The 21,385-nt window shown below is 35.5% G+C and overlaps 1 protein-coding gene across 2 annotated transcripts in view; it reads right to left on the minus strand.

The window, feature by feature from the left end:
• Positions 1–21,385, minus strand: part of ADAMTS20 (ADAM metallopeptidase with thrombospondin type 1 motif 20) — a 199,441-nt gene that overhangs the window by 176,551 nt on the left and 1,505 nt on the right. For both annotated transcript variants that reach the window (XM_011538754.3, NM_025003.5), the window contains exon 3: positions 2,723–2,882. In XM_011538754.3, the coding sequence (XP_011537056.1) occupies positions 2,723–2,882 (160 nt within the window). The remainder of the gene's footprint in view (positions 1–2,722; positions 2,883–21,385) is intronic.

The raw sequence follows: 21,385 nt of genomic DNA on the forward strand, positions 1-21,385 counted from the left end.
TGGAAAAGAAATCATTATATGAAAGAGACACATGCACACATATGTTTATTGCAGTCAAATTCACAGTTGCAAAGATATGAAACCAACCTACGTGCCTGCTAACCAACAAGTGGATAAAGAAAATGTGGTACATATACACCATGGAATACTACTCAGCCACAAAAAGGCATGAAATAATGTCCTTTGCAGCAAGTTGGATGGAGCTGGGGGCCATCATTCTAAGGGAAGTAATTTCAGGAATGAAAAACCAAATACCATACGTTCTCACTTATAAGTGGGAGCTACGCTATGAGTATGCAAAGGCATACCGAGTGATATAATGGACTTTGGAGACTCAGAAGCGGGAGGGTAGGAGGGGGGTGCGGAATAAAAATCTACATATGAGGTGCAAGGTACACTACTTGGGTGACAAGTGCACTAAAATATCAGAATTCACCACTATATAATTCATCTATGTAACCAAAAACCACTAGTACTCCAAAAGCTATTAAAACTTTTAAGAAGAATATATAAAACCTTCAAGTATTTCTAAACAACATGTGAACTGAGGGAGGAAAAAAATACCTTAGATAATTTTAATTGCATTTGCAATGCTCCACTTTTACTAAAATATGAGTATTTGTTAGCTAATTTTTAGGTCATTAATTAATTGCCTTTATTAGTGATTAAAAATGTGTATGCTGATTGTACCTAAAATTGGAGGCAATTTAAGACTTGAAAAGGATACTACCTTTTACATTTTGTTAGATAAATATTGTAGAAAAAATGTATTTTATGATTAAAAGAAAATGAAATTACGTAGCTTTCTATTTGCTTTTTATTTGTAGCTTTCTAGTAAATCTTTAGTATAAAACTGTTTAACAAAAAAAAAGCCTAGCTTTCCTTGAATTATATTCTTGCTTGTGAATGCAAAACCTTCCAAATTATTTGAAACATTTATGTATTCAGAATATTACTTTGTGGTTTTCTTCTTAAGAAGCTAAACAATTCATTAAACAAGCTGCTCTTGAATAGTAGATCAGAACAAGCATAAGCTGCCTTCTGTAGAATTCTATTGTGGAACTGTACCCATTTGTGTTTTCTTTGAAGCCATAAAAATGAAACCCTTATGCTCATATTAAAAGCATAAGAAAGGCATCTATTATGTCAATAGATTTAAAACACGGCCTTAGACACAGTGAGAACCACTCTAAAGGTTAAGAAGTTCATTCCCAAGGAAAACCATCAAAGGCCTACATATCATTATATCTCAAAACAGATGGCATCACAGTGTTTGGAACTATAGTTTACGGACACCTACGATCTCAAATAAATCCTTGCTAATCCCACCCTTTTGTCTAGATTTTGTACTTTGATGGTAACTGCAGGTGCCTTTTCTCCATCATATCGTTGCATGTCATTCTATGAATCATGAAGATACATGTACCTTATATGGACACAACTCTTAATAAATACAACTTTTATACAATATGTAAGTATTTTACCAGCCACAGATATACTCTTTGTAGAAATCTATGCTTCTTAGATTCTAATCTATTATAAATCTTCAGTAGTCTAAATTTTATAGAAAAAAATGATGAAAATATACCTCTCTCATAGATTGGTGAAACTATAATATTGATTTAAAAATCACTTTGTAAAACAATGTGGAATTATCTAGTATCTAGGTATATATCCTGGAGAAACTCTCAAAAACAGGAGATGGGGACAAGAATATTTACAGCAGCATTGCCTCTAACACCAAAAAACTGCAAACAGCCCAAAAGATCAACAGGAAAATTGATATATGAACTGTGTTACCCTCAAACAATGAAATGTTGTACAACAATGAAAATAAATGAACTGTTCCTACATGCACCAAAATAGATGAACCCCAGAAACAATACTAAGCAAAAAAGATAAATCACAGAAAACTATATAAAATATGTTTCCAATTTATATAAAGTTAAAACCATGCAAAATTGAGCAATGTGTTTTTACTGTTACTTAGGTTCAGGAATTTTTTTTTCATCTAAAATCCTGCTGAAAAAAATTAAATAATACTAATGTGACTAACAGATTAAAGTAAAATTTTTCTATGATTATTTGCTACCAATCTCATATACTGAAAAACTTTTGGGATTCAAATTTAGCTTATTACAAAAAAAGTTATCTACAGACAGAAAAATCTCTCATGCATCCATACAGGTGAAAAGATTGTTTAAAAGATCATGTCCTTCAATATTTAAGAAATATCATATGACCTTATTTATATGTGGAATCTAAAAGAGTTGAACTCATAGATGTAAAGAGTGGAATGGTGGTTACCAGAGGCTACAGTTGCAGGCGGGAAGGAAAGATGTTGTTCAAAGGGCATAAAATTTCAGTTACATACAAGGAATAGGCTACTGTACTGTACATGGTGACTATAGTTAATAACAATGCAGTGTATTCTTGAAAACTGCTAAGAGTAGATTTTAAGTGTTCTCACCACAAAAAAAAGAAAAATAAGTACATGAGCTAATGCATTTGTTAATTAGTTTGATTAAGCCATTCCACAATGTATGCATACTTCAAAGCAACATGTCATACATGCTAAACATACACAATTTTTATTTCTGAATTTAAAAAATTAATTAAAAATAAATAAAATATTGAAGGGAAATATATAAATTATAACCTATAAAAAAAGATTTAAATAGTATCACTATTTAGCTGAAAAGAGTTCTATTTCACAGTTTACCTGACACACTGCAATACTTCAGAGTCTGCAGAAAAGAGTTATTTAAGTCTTGTCTGTATATAAGATGTGGCTTGTTGTGACCATCTTCATATTCATTCCCATCTGCCTTCATTATAGGTTCTAAGAAATATTCACCGTTCTGTCCTTTAAATGTTCCCGTCTGAAAATAAAGGAAACAAAAATGAATTTTTCCTAACAGTCGCCAAGAAGAAAAAACACATAGTACCACAGGTTAAATGAGCAGACAGAAGCAAAACAGCAAGGAGTCTGTTCACTAAGAGCCATCAACTGAGCATAAAAAGTTTCCCTTCCCTGGGTCACTTTTCTCTCTCCACTCCTATACATAAAGTCATGAAGACTGGATAGTGTTCCAACAGGCCAAGCTAAGTGACGGGCATTCCAGGTGCAAAGAACAGCATAGATAAAAGCATCAAAATGGAAAAAGTGTTTAGAATAGTCTATAAATAATAAAGCCTGTGCTTTTGATCTGTGGGAAAATAGATACTTTTTTTTTTTAATGTTTTTTTTTTTATTATACTCTAAGTTTTAGGGTACATGTGCACATTGTGCAGGTTAGTTACATATGTATACATGTGCCATGCTGGTGCGCTGCACCCACTAACGTGTCATCTAGCATTAGGTATATCTCCCAATGCTATCCCTCCCCCCTCCCCCGACCCCACCACAGTCCCCAGAGTGTGATATTCCCCTTCCTGTGTCCATGTGATCTCATTGTTCAATTCCCACCTATGAGTGAGAATATGCGGTGTTTGGTTTTTTGTTCTTGCGATAGTTTACTGAGAATGATGGTTTCCAATTTCATCCATGTCCCTACAAAGGACATGAACTCATCATTTTTTATGGCTGCATAGTATTCCATGGTGTATATGTGCCACATTTTCTTAATCCAGTCTATCATTGTTGGACATTTGGGTTGGCTCCAAGTCTTTGCTATTGTGAATAGTGCCGCAATAAACATACGTGTGCATGTGTCTTTATAGCAGCATGATTTATAGTCCTTTGGGTATATACCCAGTAATGGGATGGCTGGGTCAAATGGTATTTCTAGTTCTAGATCCCTGAGGAATCGCCACACTGACTTCCACAATGGTTGAACTAGTTTACAGTCCCACCAACAGTGTAAAAGTGTTCCTATTTCTCCACATCCTCTCCAGCACCTGTTGTTTCCTGACTTTTTAATGATTGCCATTCTAACTGGTGTGAGATGATATCTCATAGTGGTTTTGATTTGCATTTCTCTGATGGCCAGTGATGATGAGCATTTCTTCATGTGTTTTTTACAAACAGAGAGCCAAATCATGAGTGAACTCCCATTCACAATTGCTTCAAAGAGAATAAAATACCTAGGAATCCAACTTACAAGGGATGTGAAGGACCTCTTCAAGGAGAACTACAAACCACTGCTCAAGGAAATAAAAGAGGACACAAACAAATGGAAGAACATTCCATGCTCATGGGTAGGAAGAATCAATATCGTGAAAATGGCCATACTGCCCAAGGTAATTTACAGATTCAATGCCATCCCCATCAAGCTACCAATGACTTTCTTCACAGAATTGGAAAAAACTACTTTAAAGTTCATATGGAACCAAAAAAGAGCCCGCATCGCCAAGTCAATCCTAAGCCAAAAGAACAAAGCTGGAGGCATCACACTACCTGACTTCAAACTATACTACAAGGCTACAGTAACCAAAACAGCATGGTACTGGTACCAAAACAGAGATATAGATCAATGGAACAGAACAGAGCCCTCAGAAATAATGCCGCATATCTACAACTATCTGATCTTTGACAAACCTGAGAAAAACAAGCAATGGGGAAAGGATTCCCTATTTAATAAATGGTGCTGGGAAAACTGGCTAGCCATATGTAGAAAGCTGAAACTGGATCCCTTCCTTACACCTTATACAAAAATCAACTCAAGATGGGTTAAAGGTTTAAACGTTAGACCTAAAACCATAGAAACCCTAGAAGAAAACCTAGGCATTACCATTCAGGACATAGGCGTGGGCAAGGACTTCATGTCCAAAACACCAAAAGCAATGGCAACAAAAGCCAAAATTGACAAATGGGATCTAATTAAACTAAAGAGCTTCTGCACAGCAAAAGAAACTACCATCAGAGTGAACAGGCAACCTACAACATGGGAGAAAATTTTCGCAACCTACTCATCTGACAAAGGGCTAATATCCAGAATCTACAATGAACTCAAACAAATTTACAAGAAAAAAACAAACAACCCCATCAAAAAGTGGGCGAAGGACATGAGCAGACACTTCTCAAAAGAAAATAGATACTTTAATACATTAGTGTTGAAAATATGTCAGTACAATCAGTATGCAAAGCAATTTGGCAATATTTAACACATTAACAATGTATTTGCCCTTTAACACAGCAATTCCCCTTCTGAGAATTTATCCTATATATACCATACATTTGCATGTGTGAAATAATATACTTACAAGGTTATTAACCATAACATTGTTTTTAATAGCAAAATATTGGAACTACTTCAAAAGTCCATTGATAGAGTCTGTTTACATAAACTTTAGCACAACTATGTGATGGCATCCCTTGAGGTTATAAACAAACAAACAAAAAGAGAAAACATTCTGTGTAGTGATATAGAAAGAACTCCAATGCATATCATTACACCAAAACAAAAAAAACTACTAAACAGAATGTATACTTCACTACTATTGCATAATAAAGGAAGAAACCCTAAAACTAAATATTTCTATTTGCCTGGTTACTACTGAAAAAACTCTAGAAGGATTATTAGGAACAGTGCCGATAGAAGTGGGTGAAACTGGGTGCATGTAGGATGGACTAGGTATGGCATCGTGCTTCCAACATGCTGTCCCTCTACCTAAAATGTTTCCCTGCTTCCCACCCTTCACCTCTACCTCTGCATCATCACACTCAGTCTGGCTGGCTTCATCTCATCCTTCAAGTCTCAGCTCAAATAACAACCACCCAGAAAGTTTTTCCTTGACCAGTTTTCTAGGTAACTACATACCCATCCCTACTCCTAAAAACACATTACATCTGCTTGATTTCTTTAGCACATTTATCATATGTTGCATTTATATGTTTGTTTGCTATTTAAAACTATTCTTCCCCACTAGACAGAAGTCTTCAAATAAGCAGTGACCTATCCCTGAATTTCTACTGCTGAAGAGACTATCTGAGATCTAGGCACATGTGGTAAGCAGTAGGTATTTGTTAAACCGTGAAAGCTATTATTTCCTACCTTTGCAAGCTCAGTTTATGTTAAGCAAAAGTAGGGCATAAATTTGAAAACTTAGGCTAGACCTAGAATATAAAGACTCTTGCTTGCAGGGATTTTTGTCAGAGGAGTCCATAAACTTGGGTGAGAAAAAAAATTACATCCTTATTATCATTAACCTAATTATAATTAACCTATAAACTCCTTCATGAAAGAAATGCTAAATTTGAAAGTAGGCTACAAATTCCAGTAAGGTTGTCAACAGAAAGCACAGATATGTTCATCACATGATGATGTTTGAAATATCTAAAAATATTGTTTATGCTTATCAACACTTCAAAATTAAGGTAGCTATTAGTCTGCCATTAGATCATATTATTTAAGGTGCTAATAAAAGATACATAACTTTTTTTAATATCTTGATAACTATATTTCAATATAAATGCTTTATTTTGTATTTTTATTAATATTTTAGGTGCATTGAGATTCTAAGAAGGGTTCATTTAATCATTAAAGAATTCAAATAAAAGTGGGAGTGGAGAGCAGAGTCAAAGCAATAACTTTGAAAGACTGAACAATTGTACAACTAAAGAAAGACTAGTGAAGGGAAATGTTTAGCCATCAAGGTATGAAACAACAAGGACTTGCACTCTGTTGGAAAGAAGCCCTTAAATGGTCAATTTATGTAGATAGATCCCTCTCTCGAGTCAGGTGAGGCTAAGTCATCCAAGGGAGGCATTTATAATATTAATAGCTAATACCAATATAGAGATCAGACATTATTCATTTATATATATTCATTCCTATACATATTTTATATAAATATATAATTCTTTTCCACCTAATAATAATTATTTAAAGTAAATTATATCATTATCCCCACTTTACAGGTGAGACAAATGAGGAAAAGAGAGGTTAAGTCACTTGTCCAAGGCTCATACCTAGTAAGTGGCGGTATCAAGATATGAACCCAAATACTTTGGCTTCACAATTCATGCCTTAATTCATTACACTGTGTTCATTATCACATACCAATTTTGATAAACTCTATGAACTAGTCAATAAATATTTAATGGGCACCTACTATGTGCCAAGAACCGTTCTAGGGGCTAACGATACAGAGATAAATGTGACAAAATCCCTGCCTTCAAAGAATTTATACTCCTATGGAAAAAGGCAACCAATAAATAAAAATATAATAGAATATGCAATAAGTGCAATAAAAAATAAAATAAGGAGAGAGAGAATAAAAGAGGGTGAGAGTGGGGAGGCACTCTGGAGGGGACAGCAAAGCTGAGGCTAGAGTAATCAGGAGGTAGCCGTGGAAAATTCTGGGAGGACATTCCACATAGAAGGGAATATTCCAAACGGTGACTGAAAGGCCTAGAGATGAAAAAGTCTTGGCAGGTAAAGTGACAGAGAGAACAGTGAGGCTGCAGCTGTGCCAGCTAGGAGATACAGAGTAGCAGATGACATCAGACAGGCAGAAGCCTGGTTGCACTAATTACGCTTCACAGAAAAAAGCACTCCTCACACCTCAGAATCACACAAATATATTTACCTACATTTAAAACTTTGCACTTTTCCACATGGAAAGGCATGTTTCTGTGAAGACCCAATTCAGAAACAAATTACTGAATTGCAGGTAGTATGATAAACATAGTTTTAGTGAATGAGACTTCATTTCCATTTCTTAATCACAAATATCTTAATATAGAGATACTTTGAAATCATTGTTTTAAATTCCACTGCAAATAAAAAGCATATTTTATTTTATTTTTCATTCATTTATTTATTATTTATGTATGTATTTATTTATTGTTACCAAGGCCGGAGTGCAGTGGCATGATCTCAGCTCACTGCAACCTCCACCTCCCAGGCTCAAGCAATCCCCCCACCTCAGCCTCCCATAACTGGCGGAATTTTGAAGGTTTTTTTTTTGTATTTTTGGTAGAGATGGGGTTTCACTATGTTGCCCAGGCTGGTCCCGAACTCCTGAGTTCAAGTGGTCCACCCACCTCAGCCTCCCAAAGTGCTGGGATTACAGGCATGAGCCACCACACCCGGCCCTTACTTTTATTTTTAATGTTTGTGGGTACATAGTAGGTGTATATATTTATGGAGTACATGAGATATGGTGATACAGGCATACAATGTGAAATAAGCACATCATGGGGAATGGGATATCCACCTCCTGAAGCATTTATCTTTTGATAAATGCTTTTTGAGTTACAAAAAATCCAATTACATTCTTTAAGTTATTTTAAAATATACAATTAAATTATTATTGACTATAGTCACCTGTTGTACTAGCAAATAGGTCTTACTCATTCTAATTTTTTATACTCATTAACCATCCCCACCTCTCCCCACCCCACACACCCTCTCTCTATCCTTCCCAGCCTCTGAACCATCCCTTCTACTCTCTATGTCCATGAGTTCAACTGTTTTGGGTTTTAGATCCTACAAATAACATGCAGTGTACATCTTTATGTGCCTGGCTTATTTCATTTAACATAATGATCTCTAATTCCATCCCCATTGTTAGAAATGACTAGATCTCATTCTTTTTTATGGCTGAATAGTACTCCATTGAGTATATGTACCACATTCTCTTTATCTATTCATCTGTTGATGGACACTTAGGTTGCTTCCAAATCTTGGCTATTGTGAACACTGCTGCAACAAACAGTGGGAGTACAGATATCTCTTCAATATCCTGATTTCCTTTCATTTGGGTGTATACCCAGCAGTGGGATTGCTGGATCATATGGTAGCTCTACTTTTAGTTTTCTGAGGACCCTCCAAACTCTTCTCCATAATGGTTGCACTAATTTACATTCCCACCACAATGTACAAGTGTTCCCTTTTTGACACATTCTGACCAGCATTTGTTATTGCCTGTTTTTTGGATATAAGCCATTTTCACTGGGGTGAGATGATATCTCACTGTAGTTTTGACTTGCATTTCTCTGATGATCAATGATGTTGAGCATCTTTTCACATGCCTGTTTGCCATTTGTGTGTCTTCTTTTAAGAAAGTCTATTCAAATCTTTTGCCCATTTTTTGATCAAATTATTCAATGTTTTTCCTATAAAGTTGTTTGAACTCCTTATATATTCTGGTTATTAATCCTTTCCCAAATGGGTAGTTGCAAATATTTTCTCCCACTCTGTGGGTTGTCTCTTCACTTTGTTGATTGTATCCTTTGCTGTGCAGAAGCTTTTTAACTTGATGTGATCTCATTTGTCCATTTTTGCTTTGGTTGCCTGTGCTTGTGGGGTATTGCTCAAAAAATTTTTGCCCAGCCCAATGTCCTGAACATTTTCCCTAGTGTTTTCTTGTAGTAGTTTAATAGTTTGAAGTAACATATATTTTAAATCACTATTTTAACCGAACATTTAAAGCCATTTAAATGATCATGGCAATTGTAGCCATAAAGTTCTCTTTCCACTGATATTTATTATTACATTGAAATCTCCTTAAAGGTAAGAACATATTTACTATTTTCAGAGTTCCAACATCTAAAACATTGCCTGAAACACAGCAGGCACTCTGTAGACAGCTGCAGAAATGAACATTTTTGTAACAAACCTGGTGAAGTACCTGGTTTTTTCTCATCCTATATCCTTGGGTAAATAATTCTTTAATTTTTTTATGAACATTCTTTTTTTTTTTTTTTTTGAGATGGAGTCTCACTCTATCACACAGACTGGAGTGCAGTGGCGTGATCTTAGCTCACTGCAACCTCCACCACCCGGGTTCAAGCAATTCTCCTGCCTCAGCCTCCCAAGTAGCTGGGATTACAGGCACCTGCCACCGCGCCCAGGTAATTTTTGTATTTTTAGTAGAGATGGGGTTTCACCATCTTGGCCAGGCTGGTCTTGAACTCCTGACCTCGTGATCCACCCGCCTTGGCCTCCCAAAGTGCTGGGATTACAGGTGTGAGCCACCACGCCCAGGCTTTAATGAACATTCTTAAGTTATGGTACTCTTGAGACATGTCTAGGATATAGTTATATGACGGTTTTCTTTCAATGCTGAAAAGTAAAATGTTTAGACACCCTTATATAGTGTGCTAATGTGTTAGGATTACACGTTTTTAAATAGTTCAAAAATTAATGAAATTCCATCAGACTACTGACTATAAAGCACTGAAATTATAGTCTATAAAATAAAAGGCAAAGCTATAAATATAAGAATTCTTATCTATTTCTTGGATACTTTTCTAGGGCTGATACCCTACCATATTTCACTAATTCTACCAGTGTCTATTTTCTAAAGATAACTACAAATCACTTACTTTCAACAAACACCAATACTCTAGCATTCTCTGCCTTCCTAGAAAACTAATTTTACCCATACTTATAAGAAGTAAAAAAGACATTGTTTTGCAACCTGAGTACATGGATCCATGGAAAATCCTTTTCTGCCTTTTTTAAAAAGCATGCTGAAGAGGGGAAATGTGATACTATCTTGACAAAATATACTAATAGACATAAGGCAGCTTGTTTACTCAACTAACTGTACCTACAAAGCTACTTTAAATAGCATCACACTATCTTCAAGCAAAATTAAAAGTACTTATATTAACCATAGATTTTTTTTTTTTTTTGAGACAGAGTCTCACTCTATCGCCAGGCTGGAGTGCAGTGGCACGATCTCAGCTCACTGCAACCTCCACCTCCCGGGTTCAAGTGATTCTCCTGCCTTAGCCTCCCAAGTAGCTGGGACTACAGGCGCTTGCCACCATGCCCAGCTAATTTTTTGTATTTTTAGTAGAGACGGGGTTTCACCATGTTGGCCAGGCTAGTCTCGATCTCCTGATCCGCCTCAGCCTCCCAAAGTGCTGGGATTACAGGCGTTAGCCACCATGCCCGGCCAACCACAGAATTCTTTTAAGCTCCTTTTGGCTCAAACTCTGACTAGGAGGTACTATTTTAATATGCCAATAAAACTGCACATGGGTCCAATCTGTGTTCCCATGTAAGAAGAAAATACAGTTCTATCCAGAAACCATCGGTACCTCCTTTTAAGTTGTGCTAGAACACTCCAGCCTTTAAAAAATGTTGTCTTTATAACTTAAATGAAAGCTTGTATGTTTGGAAACACTAAGTTAAAAAATAATGGCAAATATTTGTCCTCAAACTGAGGATAAATACTTGTCCTTTTTATTTATTAATGGAAGACTTAGAAGTATTTTGCCCCCACTGATTTTTCTATAACCTATCCCATTGCAGTGGACTTTTTGTTCAAATAATTAAAATATTAGAGCTTTGCCTAAAGGCTCCTAAGGAAGCACTTTAAATTTTTTTTTAACTTGGAAAGAACCCAGCAAGGAATTAGCAGACTTAAAAAAAAAACAGGTGGTTCATAGAATTGTACTTAGATCATGCCATATTTTTAGCAACATGACTATCTGCAGATGGGCCCTGCAATTTGATTCATGATAAATGCCAATCAAATTCCTAACACTTTCTTTCAATGACTATTAAAAACAGCAAAACTAGTTTTCACTTGGGTAGGAGTTTCTTGATTACTTGATGATCTTCTATTTGCCAAGCTGTTTTGAAAGGCAGTTAAGTGACTATAAAACTGGCTCCAATTTATTATCATAGGCCAAAATTTTTATATGTTTAGAAGATTCTATAAAATTGTTTTTCCAAAATGTTCTTATTTCAGTATCATGGCATTCATCCATATATTTTTTTCAAAATACATAGCAAATACATGTACTTTTGCTACAACCAATAAGGTACTCTCAGATTTCATTAAAGGGTGATAACAAGTACAAAATACAAACCCTTTGAACTCTTTTCCCAAATCATTTATAGTTATCACATTAAACACTGTCAACTGGAGAACATTCGGAAATAAGGTACTGCTGAAGTGTTGACTAAAATACTTAGTTTTTCCATCTTCAATCATAAATCATATCATAAGAATCAGTATGATGATATATAAGAAGAAAGCCTAGGTATGAGTTCTGGGTTTGTACTCATAGACTCTTATGTAAATTACTTTATATCTTTGACCTTCAGTTCCATTGTCTGTAAAACAAAATTGAAATAATTGTATCTACCCAATTTCCTAGGAAGGTTAATGTGTGTTTAAGTGATATTAATAATAGGAGCTTCAATAATTGTTTTGAAATTGAATGTATTTTGAAGCAAGATGAAAAATTCTCCACTAACAACACAAATGTGACAGCCACTCTTTTTACCACTGGCAGAGTATAAATGTTATATAATCGAAGACCACAAATATGAACTCTGAGATTAATTTTTATTTGGGGATAAGTAAAAATGTAAAAAGTTTTCTCTCTCTGACAGTTTCTCCTTATAACACCATTAATCATGCCTAGGAAATAGTGTATTATACAGAAACACACATTGAATAAATGAATGAATCAATGATATAAAGAAAACACAAGAATTAACTCCAGATGCATAAAACAGAAAATTCATAGTAAGGGTTTTGTTTTGTTTTGTTTTTTAAGGTTAGTTGTTCTTCTCTTCTCTTCTCTAGCAGCATTATTTACCTTCCCCATTCTGAGACAATTCCAGATCTCTAGTATAAAAATGAAACAATAAAAGGGAAATAAATACGTTGCTGGTACCTTACCTTTTTAAAAGGGACTGCTCTCCTGCCAAGTCCTGGCCTATTCAAATCAAGAAAATAAAACAAAGACTGGACTCATCTACCCAAGATTATGTATCCAAAAGACACAAGTTCAAATAGTGTGCCCCAGCAGCCTTCATAACATGGAGCAAATTCTGTAATATTTCTCATTCTTGTGGGCACTGAGGTGTTATAAAGTCATATGAACTAATTAAAAAGAGGAAAGAATTGTCAAAGAAATGGCCACGTTCTTGTGGGGTCTGCGTAGTGGTCCTCAGATGGCCTCTCCCAAACTGTCTCCAAAATATCCGTGAAAATATGAAATCAAAAATCATAACAATGAGAAATTTAAAATAATAAGAAATCATTAAAAACTATTTTGTAGGTCTATAATGGAAACATACTCATGATATATTGTCAAAATATTCTGAAGCAATATTACTTTAAAACAAACACAAAAATACATATAATATCTAGAGGGACATATGCCATACATATGCCAGACCACCTGTAATATTTGTAGCATATATTTTCCTAGTTTATTTTTAAAATTTTTTACAATTATTTTGACATGGAACTCTTCAATTATCATTTGGGCCAATCTATTGTTTTTTTTTCATGTGTTATTTCTTGTATTTTTCCCTATCTAAAAATTACAATATACTGTCATTTTCTTTTACTTTAGTACAGTTGGAATTTTATTTGGTTTACCAGTAAAGTGAGAATTCAAAATTTAGTTTTTCCCTATAATAAGTTCTTGGCATTAAAAGATTTAAAATAAATGCCTTTTAGGCTTTGGCAACTGTCACAGAAAACTAACTTGAAGCAATTATCAAAACTTGATCTGTTGTCAGAAGCCAACTAAGTTTTAGAGGGATTATACTGTCAAAGAAAACACTAGCCTGGACTGAAAAAGCCTTTGATGGAGTTCATTGTAAAATAACCTACAGGCTTTCAGAATTACCCCAGCATTCTTGAAGCTCCCCCAAGACAACATCCTCCTGAGACCCCATTTTAGATGTGGCCATGGAGGAAGATGGACAAGAAAGTTCCAGAAGGTAGAACCAAGGATCTGGGCAATTGAAGTCCAAGGATCCCAGCCAAAACCAAGGGCTGGGCACTTGGCTCATGCCCGTAATCCCAACACTTTGGGAGGCTGAGGCAGGAATGCTGCTTGAGGCCAGGAGTTCAAGACCAGTCTGGTCAACATAGGGGAACACCATCTCTACTGAAAATTTTAAAAAAGAAAAAAAAACTGGTCAGGTGTGGGGGGGTGTGCCTGTAGTTCCCAGCCACTTGGAAGGCTGAATCAGAAGTATTTGAGCCCAAGAGTTCAAGGCTACAGTGAATTATTATCATGCCATTGCACTCCATCCTGGGCAACAGAGCAAGGTCTTGTCTCAAAGAAAAAAAAGAAAGAAAAGTAATCAAGGAGCTCCCCTCCTTCCACAGTAGTGAGTCTCCACAATTCCTCTTCAGGAGCCAAAAACTGCTAAATATCAGTGACTACTAGGTGTCTCCTATTCTTCTTTCTGTAGCAAGTTGGGGTTAGGGTTGCAGTCATGCTGGTCATGCTGTATACTTGGCTGGTAGCTGAAGATAATTTATCTTTTTAATTCATATTTTTCCAAGCTACAAAGAGCCACATCTTGACTTTATGGAGAAGACTGCGTTATCCAGAGATCCTGGACATTGAGCCAGAGTCAGTGCCCCTGTGGGAACTTTGAGTTTTCTCCTTATAGACAAGATGAGTATGTTTGATGCGTGATCTGTTTGGTGAACAGAAGAGCAGCCTGTAATAAAGACTATTGGTGATCACCAATATGGGTGTTCTTTCTTTTTCCTAGGAAAAATCAACGCCCCTCATTTTCCAGTCTTTTTTACATCTAGGTAGAACCAGGCAACTAGTTCTCCTCAATAGAATATACATAAAATTGGTTTGCGTCACCTTTGGGCTGAGAAAGTCAAGATCCAGTATACCTTCTCCATGCTCTTACTATAGTTATAAATTATATAGCTCATAAACATATTTGTAATTAATAAACAATATTTTTCCAATAGAAAACACATAACTGTACCACCAAAACCTAATAGTGGCTGTTAGGTAATAAATGACTGATAAATATTTGCTGAAAAAAAATGAACAATGTGTTTCTTCCTTTGCATATTAGTAAGAGTTGGACAGCTTAAATATATTTCATAGAAAACAGTAATTACAATAATTGCAACAGAAATAAAGCCACAAAAAACAAGGATGTGATGTAAGCTCAAATGAATGAACTAATAAATAGAACACAATTAACTTAGGTATCATCGGAAGAGATTTAGTAAATACAGAATTTCTTAAATGTGCCCAAGCACTTTAACTAAAATTGGTAAAGTAATTTTCCTGCATCGAATGACTGAGGTAAAGATGAGCTAGCTAAATATTTGGCATATATAAATAAAAGTTAGCTGCTTATCTTACTCATAATGTGTTGCTCAACATGTGTTGAGCAATTCTATATATTAGGTGCTAAAAGAAATATGACTATCATTTCTACCTTCTAATTCTATAAATGAAATAGAAATGCAGACACCTAGCTTTAATTTAATATGTAATGAGAGTACACGTGCATAAAACGTCAACTGGTACAACAAGGACGCCCTGGTCAATTTTGCCAAGAGAAGATCAGGGGAAAAGGAAGGCAGCTCAAAATGGATCAGGAAGGATAGTTAGGAGGTTGAGGGAAAGGACATTCTATACAGAGAGAAGAGCAAATATAAATTCAAGCAATTATGAAGATTAGAGTAAATCTGTGATAGAATCAAACAAGTGTCTCCAGAATAATTACCTTTCTTGCCACTTCTGTCATTGCCTTTTTTGGTTAACAGCCACAAGATCATTCAGTCATTTAAACCAGAGTCATTAAAACTTTTTGGTCTCCTTCACCAATGCTCCAGAATTCTAAGGGGTCTCCTGCAAGGCTGCTCCACTTCAGCACTACGGACAGCTTGATAATTCTTTGTGTAGGGGGCTGTGCTGTGCATTGTGGGATATTGCTGGCCTGTACCCATGCTCTGCCAGTAGCATGCTCGCCTCAATGCACCTACAGTTGCAACAACAAAAATTGTCTCCAGACATTGCCAAATGTCTTCTGGGGGACAAAACTGCTCCCAGTAAGGAAGCACTGATCTGCAGTAGCATACGGTCCATAGGTACCCACTCTTCTCCTTCCCCACTGCAACATTACTTTAAATAGCCTCTCTTCCTTACCCGCAGTAGGGTAATAGACTACAACACTGGTCTTCTCAGTGACTCACTGCCTCCCCTGTACCCTGCACAATGGTGCATAAGAGGAGATGTGCCTCCTAATACATTGAACAAACCTACCACATACTGTTCAAATTCTCACTCCTTTACAATGCATTTCAGGACCTTAACAATCTGATTCCTTGGTCTTAAACTCTCACTACCAAATCTACCCTGTTTTTCAGCTGCACAGTCCACGAGAAGTCCTTGAATTTTCATATCCATTTTTATTCATTCCTCAAAGTCCAGTTGAGAAGTCTTGCCCAGCAGAGGTCTCACAACTCTCTTAATCACTCCTTCCTTAATTATGTCATTCCTCAAAGTTTACACAGCACTTTTTATGTTGTCTACTTTAGCAAGGGCACTTTGAAATCCATCACAGTGTTTGCACCCTGGCCATAGCTCCCAAGGACTTCTCCTTGTCAGTAACTGAGTATGGTAGGGATATCATGGCAGACCTGTTCTCGAGAGCCATAGACTCTTGTTCTGGCCAAGTCTGGCTCAAGGACAGCTTTGCTCAACCTTGCTTGGACTGCCCAGCAGCCTAGGATGCTACTACCCAACATTCTCATCCTTTTTTTTTCCTATGTAAGCCTTTTTTTCTTACATAAGCTCTTACACAGCTCTCCAAGCTCTCTCCTTAGTTTCTCTAACACAGACACTTCCCCTAACTAAAATCTTATCTTTGCATCTGTCTCTTGAAAGACCTGGACTAACACACACTAGAATGTTAAAAGAACAGCATAAGAAATTTTCCATACTGCTGTTTGACTAGTATTGCAGCAAGTACATGAATAGCCAAAAGAGGTTCTTATTAGTTTTCTCAATAAGAAAAAATATGAATACAGAATGGCATGTGTAATAATCCAAGGCTATATTAGTCCTGGGAAAATAGAAAGTTTGGAAAATAATAAAACTAAAATTTTGCCAGAATACACAAAAAACAGTAAAAACACTATTGATAGTTTCTATATTCTTATTTCCTGTCTGAACAAGAAGTTACTAGAGCAACTCAATAATCAGTCATCAGAGAGGTAATGCTTGACATGTTGCAGAATGGTTCATGTGAGAAACTTCAAAAGTACACACAGCCATGACAAGCTCTACTCCATGTATAAGTCAGATGCAATGTCTGGTTTCATGACATCTGGAAACTGTTTCCTTCAACCAGAAAGACTGCATTGCCTCAAATCCCACCAAGAAATAGAGAAGTTAACTGTCTAGGCAGTTGAGTTAATCCCCGAGGACCTTGGGAAGACTTGAACACCCTAGGTAATATGAGAAAAGGGCTACCAGAAGCATGAGGAATTGTCAGAAACAGCCTGTGTAAAGTTTGTCAATTCCATCCTGACAAGTATATGCCAACTTATTAAATACTGATCTCTAAATACGTTGGCAAGAGTATTTAACAACATTATGAGATGATAAATAATATGACCATAAAAAAGAAGTTTAGAGTTGGATATAGGGATATTAAGTCCTGGTAACTATACATGTTATGAGATAGCCTATCAATGGATTAAAAACATAGAGTTTGATTAGCCATTACATTACTTATAGATAATTTTATGATTCAGTTCCATTTTTATACTTTTTATAGATCTTGGAAATGTATAAATAAATCTCTATTCAGAAATGTTTGAATTATGGGATGAATAAATACTTACACTTATGGAAAATAAAAATTATAGAGAAGAAAAGATTAGAAAAGCAAGAATTATATACATGTTAAACAAAGAAAATTTCTGCCAGACTCTTAGACTCTTCTGGTTCTTGGGCTCAAAATACTTAGGAAAAAAACTAAACAATACTAGTTATGGTTCAGAGAAAAACATAAATACCAAAACTTCTAAAAGTGGGGGAAATTTAACCATATAGAAATTAAAAGAAAGTATTAGTTCACATGTTTGGGGTTAATTCAAAACTAACAACTAAACGGAATCAATAAATACATTGGGGTGTCAACTTTAACAAATGGTTATACAGAGATATTTTGAAAATATTAATTTGATTTGTTTTTCATTCTTTTTCTCTAAAAGCCACATTCGCTGCCACCAGCGAAGGGAATGAGAGAGTCTACCTCAGTTGGGAAGATGGAAAGGCAAAAGGTCAATTAAATGAGATGTGAAAATGGAACTCAGTAGATACTGGAGGGGGAGGGGGAAAGGCAATGGAGGCAAAGAAAACAGATGCTAAGATGTATGTACATTAACTTCTCCACTGGGGGGTTAAAATCCCAGAAACAGAAGGCATATTGCATTGTTCAAAGGGACTGCCCAAAGAGGTGTTCCAGGGTGCTGACTATGTGGGACTCAAGGAAGGAACCCTCTGAAAGGGTTCCCTACACACATCAAATTTAGAGGTGTAGAAGAGTTCGACAAAGAGAGGAACTGAATCCCTCTTGACTCTCAAATGCCATAGAGGGCTTGAGGCCTTTAGAGGGGTCTGCAAGAAGAGCAATAGCATCACCAAACCAGTTTACCTGGAGAAGGTGATGCAGCAGGACTTTGTATTTGAAGGCTGCACAATGAATCACTGAGACAAGAAATCAAATGGATATTATAGCCAGAATTCAGAGGGATATACAGCACTAGTGAGAGCCCAGAGGAGGATGAGTCAAGACCAGTGAGCTCTCATTGAACTAGGAGAAAAAAGGCCATAAGTTCTCAGGCCCAGAAATCAGCTGCTGTTAACAGAAAAGTACAATGAAACTATGGCACAAAGAACATCACCAGAAACTTGAGGAACTGAAGGACGGTACAATTTCCTCACCCCTCTCCCAAACAATACAAAGACCTCATAACACGTTATAACCCTGTATATAGTCAGTTTCTATCAATGGTCAATGAATTCTTGAATCCACCAATATATGAAACAACACTCATTAGCAGAAAAAGAAATGAAATTGGATGCTCATTTCAATATACTCAGGAAAAACATTTAATAAACTACAACATCCATTCATGATTAAAAGCAAAACTAAAGTAAAGCAAAAAGCGACTAGAAAAAGAAGAGAACATCTCTAAATTAATAAGACTAGCTCTGAGAATCCTTCAGCAAACTGCAACCTTAATGTTTAATGGACTGAGAGGCCAAAGTCAGATATCAAGTACACAAGGTGACAAAGATAAACTAGGAAGCAAGTAGGAGCAGGGCCATCAGGTTAGCATTATTGAATTCCCAAGCTTTGTATCAACATTGATCTGCAAACAATTCATCTGGTCCAGGTTTCGGATACTACAGTTTACCTAGATACAAAGACTAAAGGCTGATCTGAGACTAAAAAGGGGAATCTGGTATAATTACAAATGGATTCTAAAATCTACCAGGTTCTATTATTTGATGAAACTATTAATCCAAAGAAATTTAATCGTAGAGTCAGTGTAGAAATAAATATATATAATCATAAATAGGTAGCTAATATCCGTTTTAGTGCTAATATAAAAAAAGCAAAATTTTTAAAAAGTCACTAATCTCATCAGTAATTTAGACTTACAATTGATTATGATCACACTACTGAAAAAAATGTAGATCTTGATACCTCTAGTTATTTCCAATGTTACTGGAAAATTTCTGTCTCTACAATGATTGAAGTATGCAACTAAGCCTTATGCAAATACAGAGAAATTATGTAAAATAAAGCTAAGTTATGGAGGTATGAAAAGAAACGTTTAAATGTTTTATCAACTACTTCTGATAATATCAATAAATTATCAAAAGCAAAGTACATAAATGGGATTATTTACTTGCCATTCAAAGTATGACTCCTATAGGTGATTTTTCCTCTTCAAAAATTTAGTAAAAGAACATTCAGAACAAATCATTTTATTTGTTTGTAATTTCTAGTAATCCCTCAATTAAATTAAATAATTTTGTTCTGAATGTTTTATTATAAAATTTATATAACATAAATGATTGATTTCATTTTTTATTAATGAGTACATTGCTAAAGAAGATAAACATTGCTGATTAACTTACACATAATATATTGTATAATACATTATCCACATAAATGAGGAAATAATAAATCTTCACACGTAACATTATAAAAATATTAATATTAATTTTTAGATATGTTAATAAAATGAACTAGGTTATAAAACAAAAAAAGTATGATGATGACTTGGGCAACTGTATCCAAAATGACACAGTGACTAGAGAGTTATGACTCAAAAATCTTTAACTGCTTTCTGAATTCAAAAAGAGGATATTGATCATAAATATATATACCTACTATGTACCCACAAAAATTAAAAATTTTAAAAAAGGATACTGAATAATAATTTAACTACATCAACATTATGAATCAAAATGAGCAGAAACAGCATTCCCTATAATGCCTTCCCATCTGGAATGCTTTTCCATGAGAAAACATAATGACCATGACAAATTTGTGGTAGCAAGTCTAGGATTTTCCAGACAAACTAAACATTATTTTAGAAAGGTTTTAGAAGGAGAATTTTTTATCCTTTGAAGTATAGGTGGCTATGTAAATATTAGAGTGTGATTCTGCCATTGTGATGTTGCAAATATTTTACATGGAAGAAAGAAAGGAAATGGTTCTAGCCATTTCATGTAAAAAACAACTCAAGATAATCACTTGAAAAAGAGCTCACATCCAGGAAGACATCTTAAATCAGTTAAGCTAAAGGAGTATTACATTTGAACTGCAGAGAAATGTTATCAATTTTTTATTTAATCAAAGAATAAACAGTGTTGATGTTCTAAAAATATCTTTGAACACCTTCCAGAAGTATCTTTTGTAAAAGTATGTATCTGCTAAACAAAAGCTAGATACTTAGGAACTGTAGAATCCTGTAACCAAATTCCTAGTTCTTGTTTTTTCTTGAATATGTATTTGTCAGAGGAGTTACTGATGGAGTGAGCCTATATATGTTTTAAAACAACTGTCCTTACCCTGGGGTTCCATGAACTTGGATGGAAAAAAGGTACATCTTTATTTTCACTAACCTCTGATACTGAGCATTTCCTTCAAGTATGAAGGTAGGTGAAACCACAGACACTGTGGCTTTATCACCAATAAAATGATACTTTTATATCACATTATGGTTGGTGTAGCTATGTGTCAACTGATTACCACCACAAAAATATAACAGACATAACCAATAGATCTCTGTAGGTAGACTGTTTTCAAGTATGATGCATTTTAAACAGATTCAACCTCTTCCCTACTCTACTTCACAGGCCATCCCCATACCATCAACAAAATGAACTTTTCCTATTCTGACCTTGCCAGTGGGAGCCATTTCATTTTATGTATATTCATTCTCCTTTCCTTCTATCAAATTCCAGAAACAAACTTATCTAAGTAAATCCGGGGGATTCTGCCTCAATAGGACCACGAAAGGGTACATCTGAGTCAAACAGCCTGCCCTCCATTCGGAAAACACACTCCATTGTAACAGTGGTCCCACAGGCCACTCCCTGATCACCACTCCAGGGATGATGAAAGAGCATCTTTCATCAGCGTTGCACAGA

The sequence above is a fragment of the Homo sapiens genome, chromosome 12, assembly GCF_000001405.40.
Source record: "Homo sapiens chromosome 12, GRCh38.p14 Primary Assembly".
Taxonomy (NCBI): domain Eukaryota; kingdom Metazoa; phylum Chordata; class Mammalia; order Primates; family Hominidae; genus Homo; species Homo sapiens.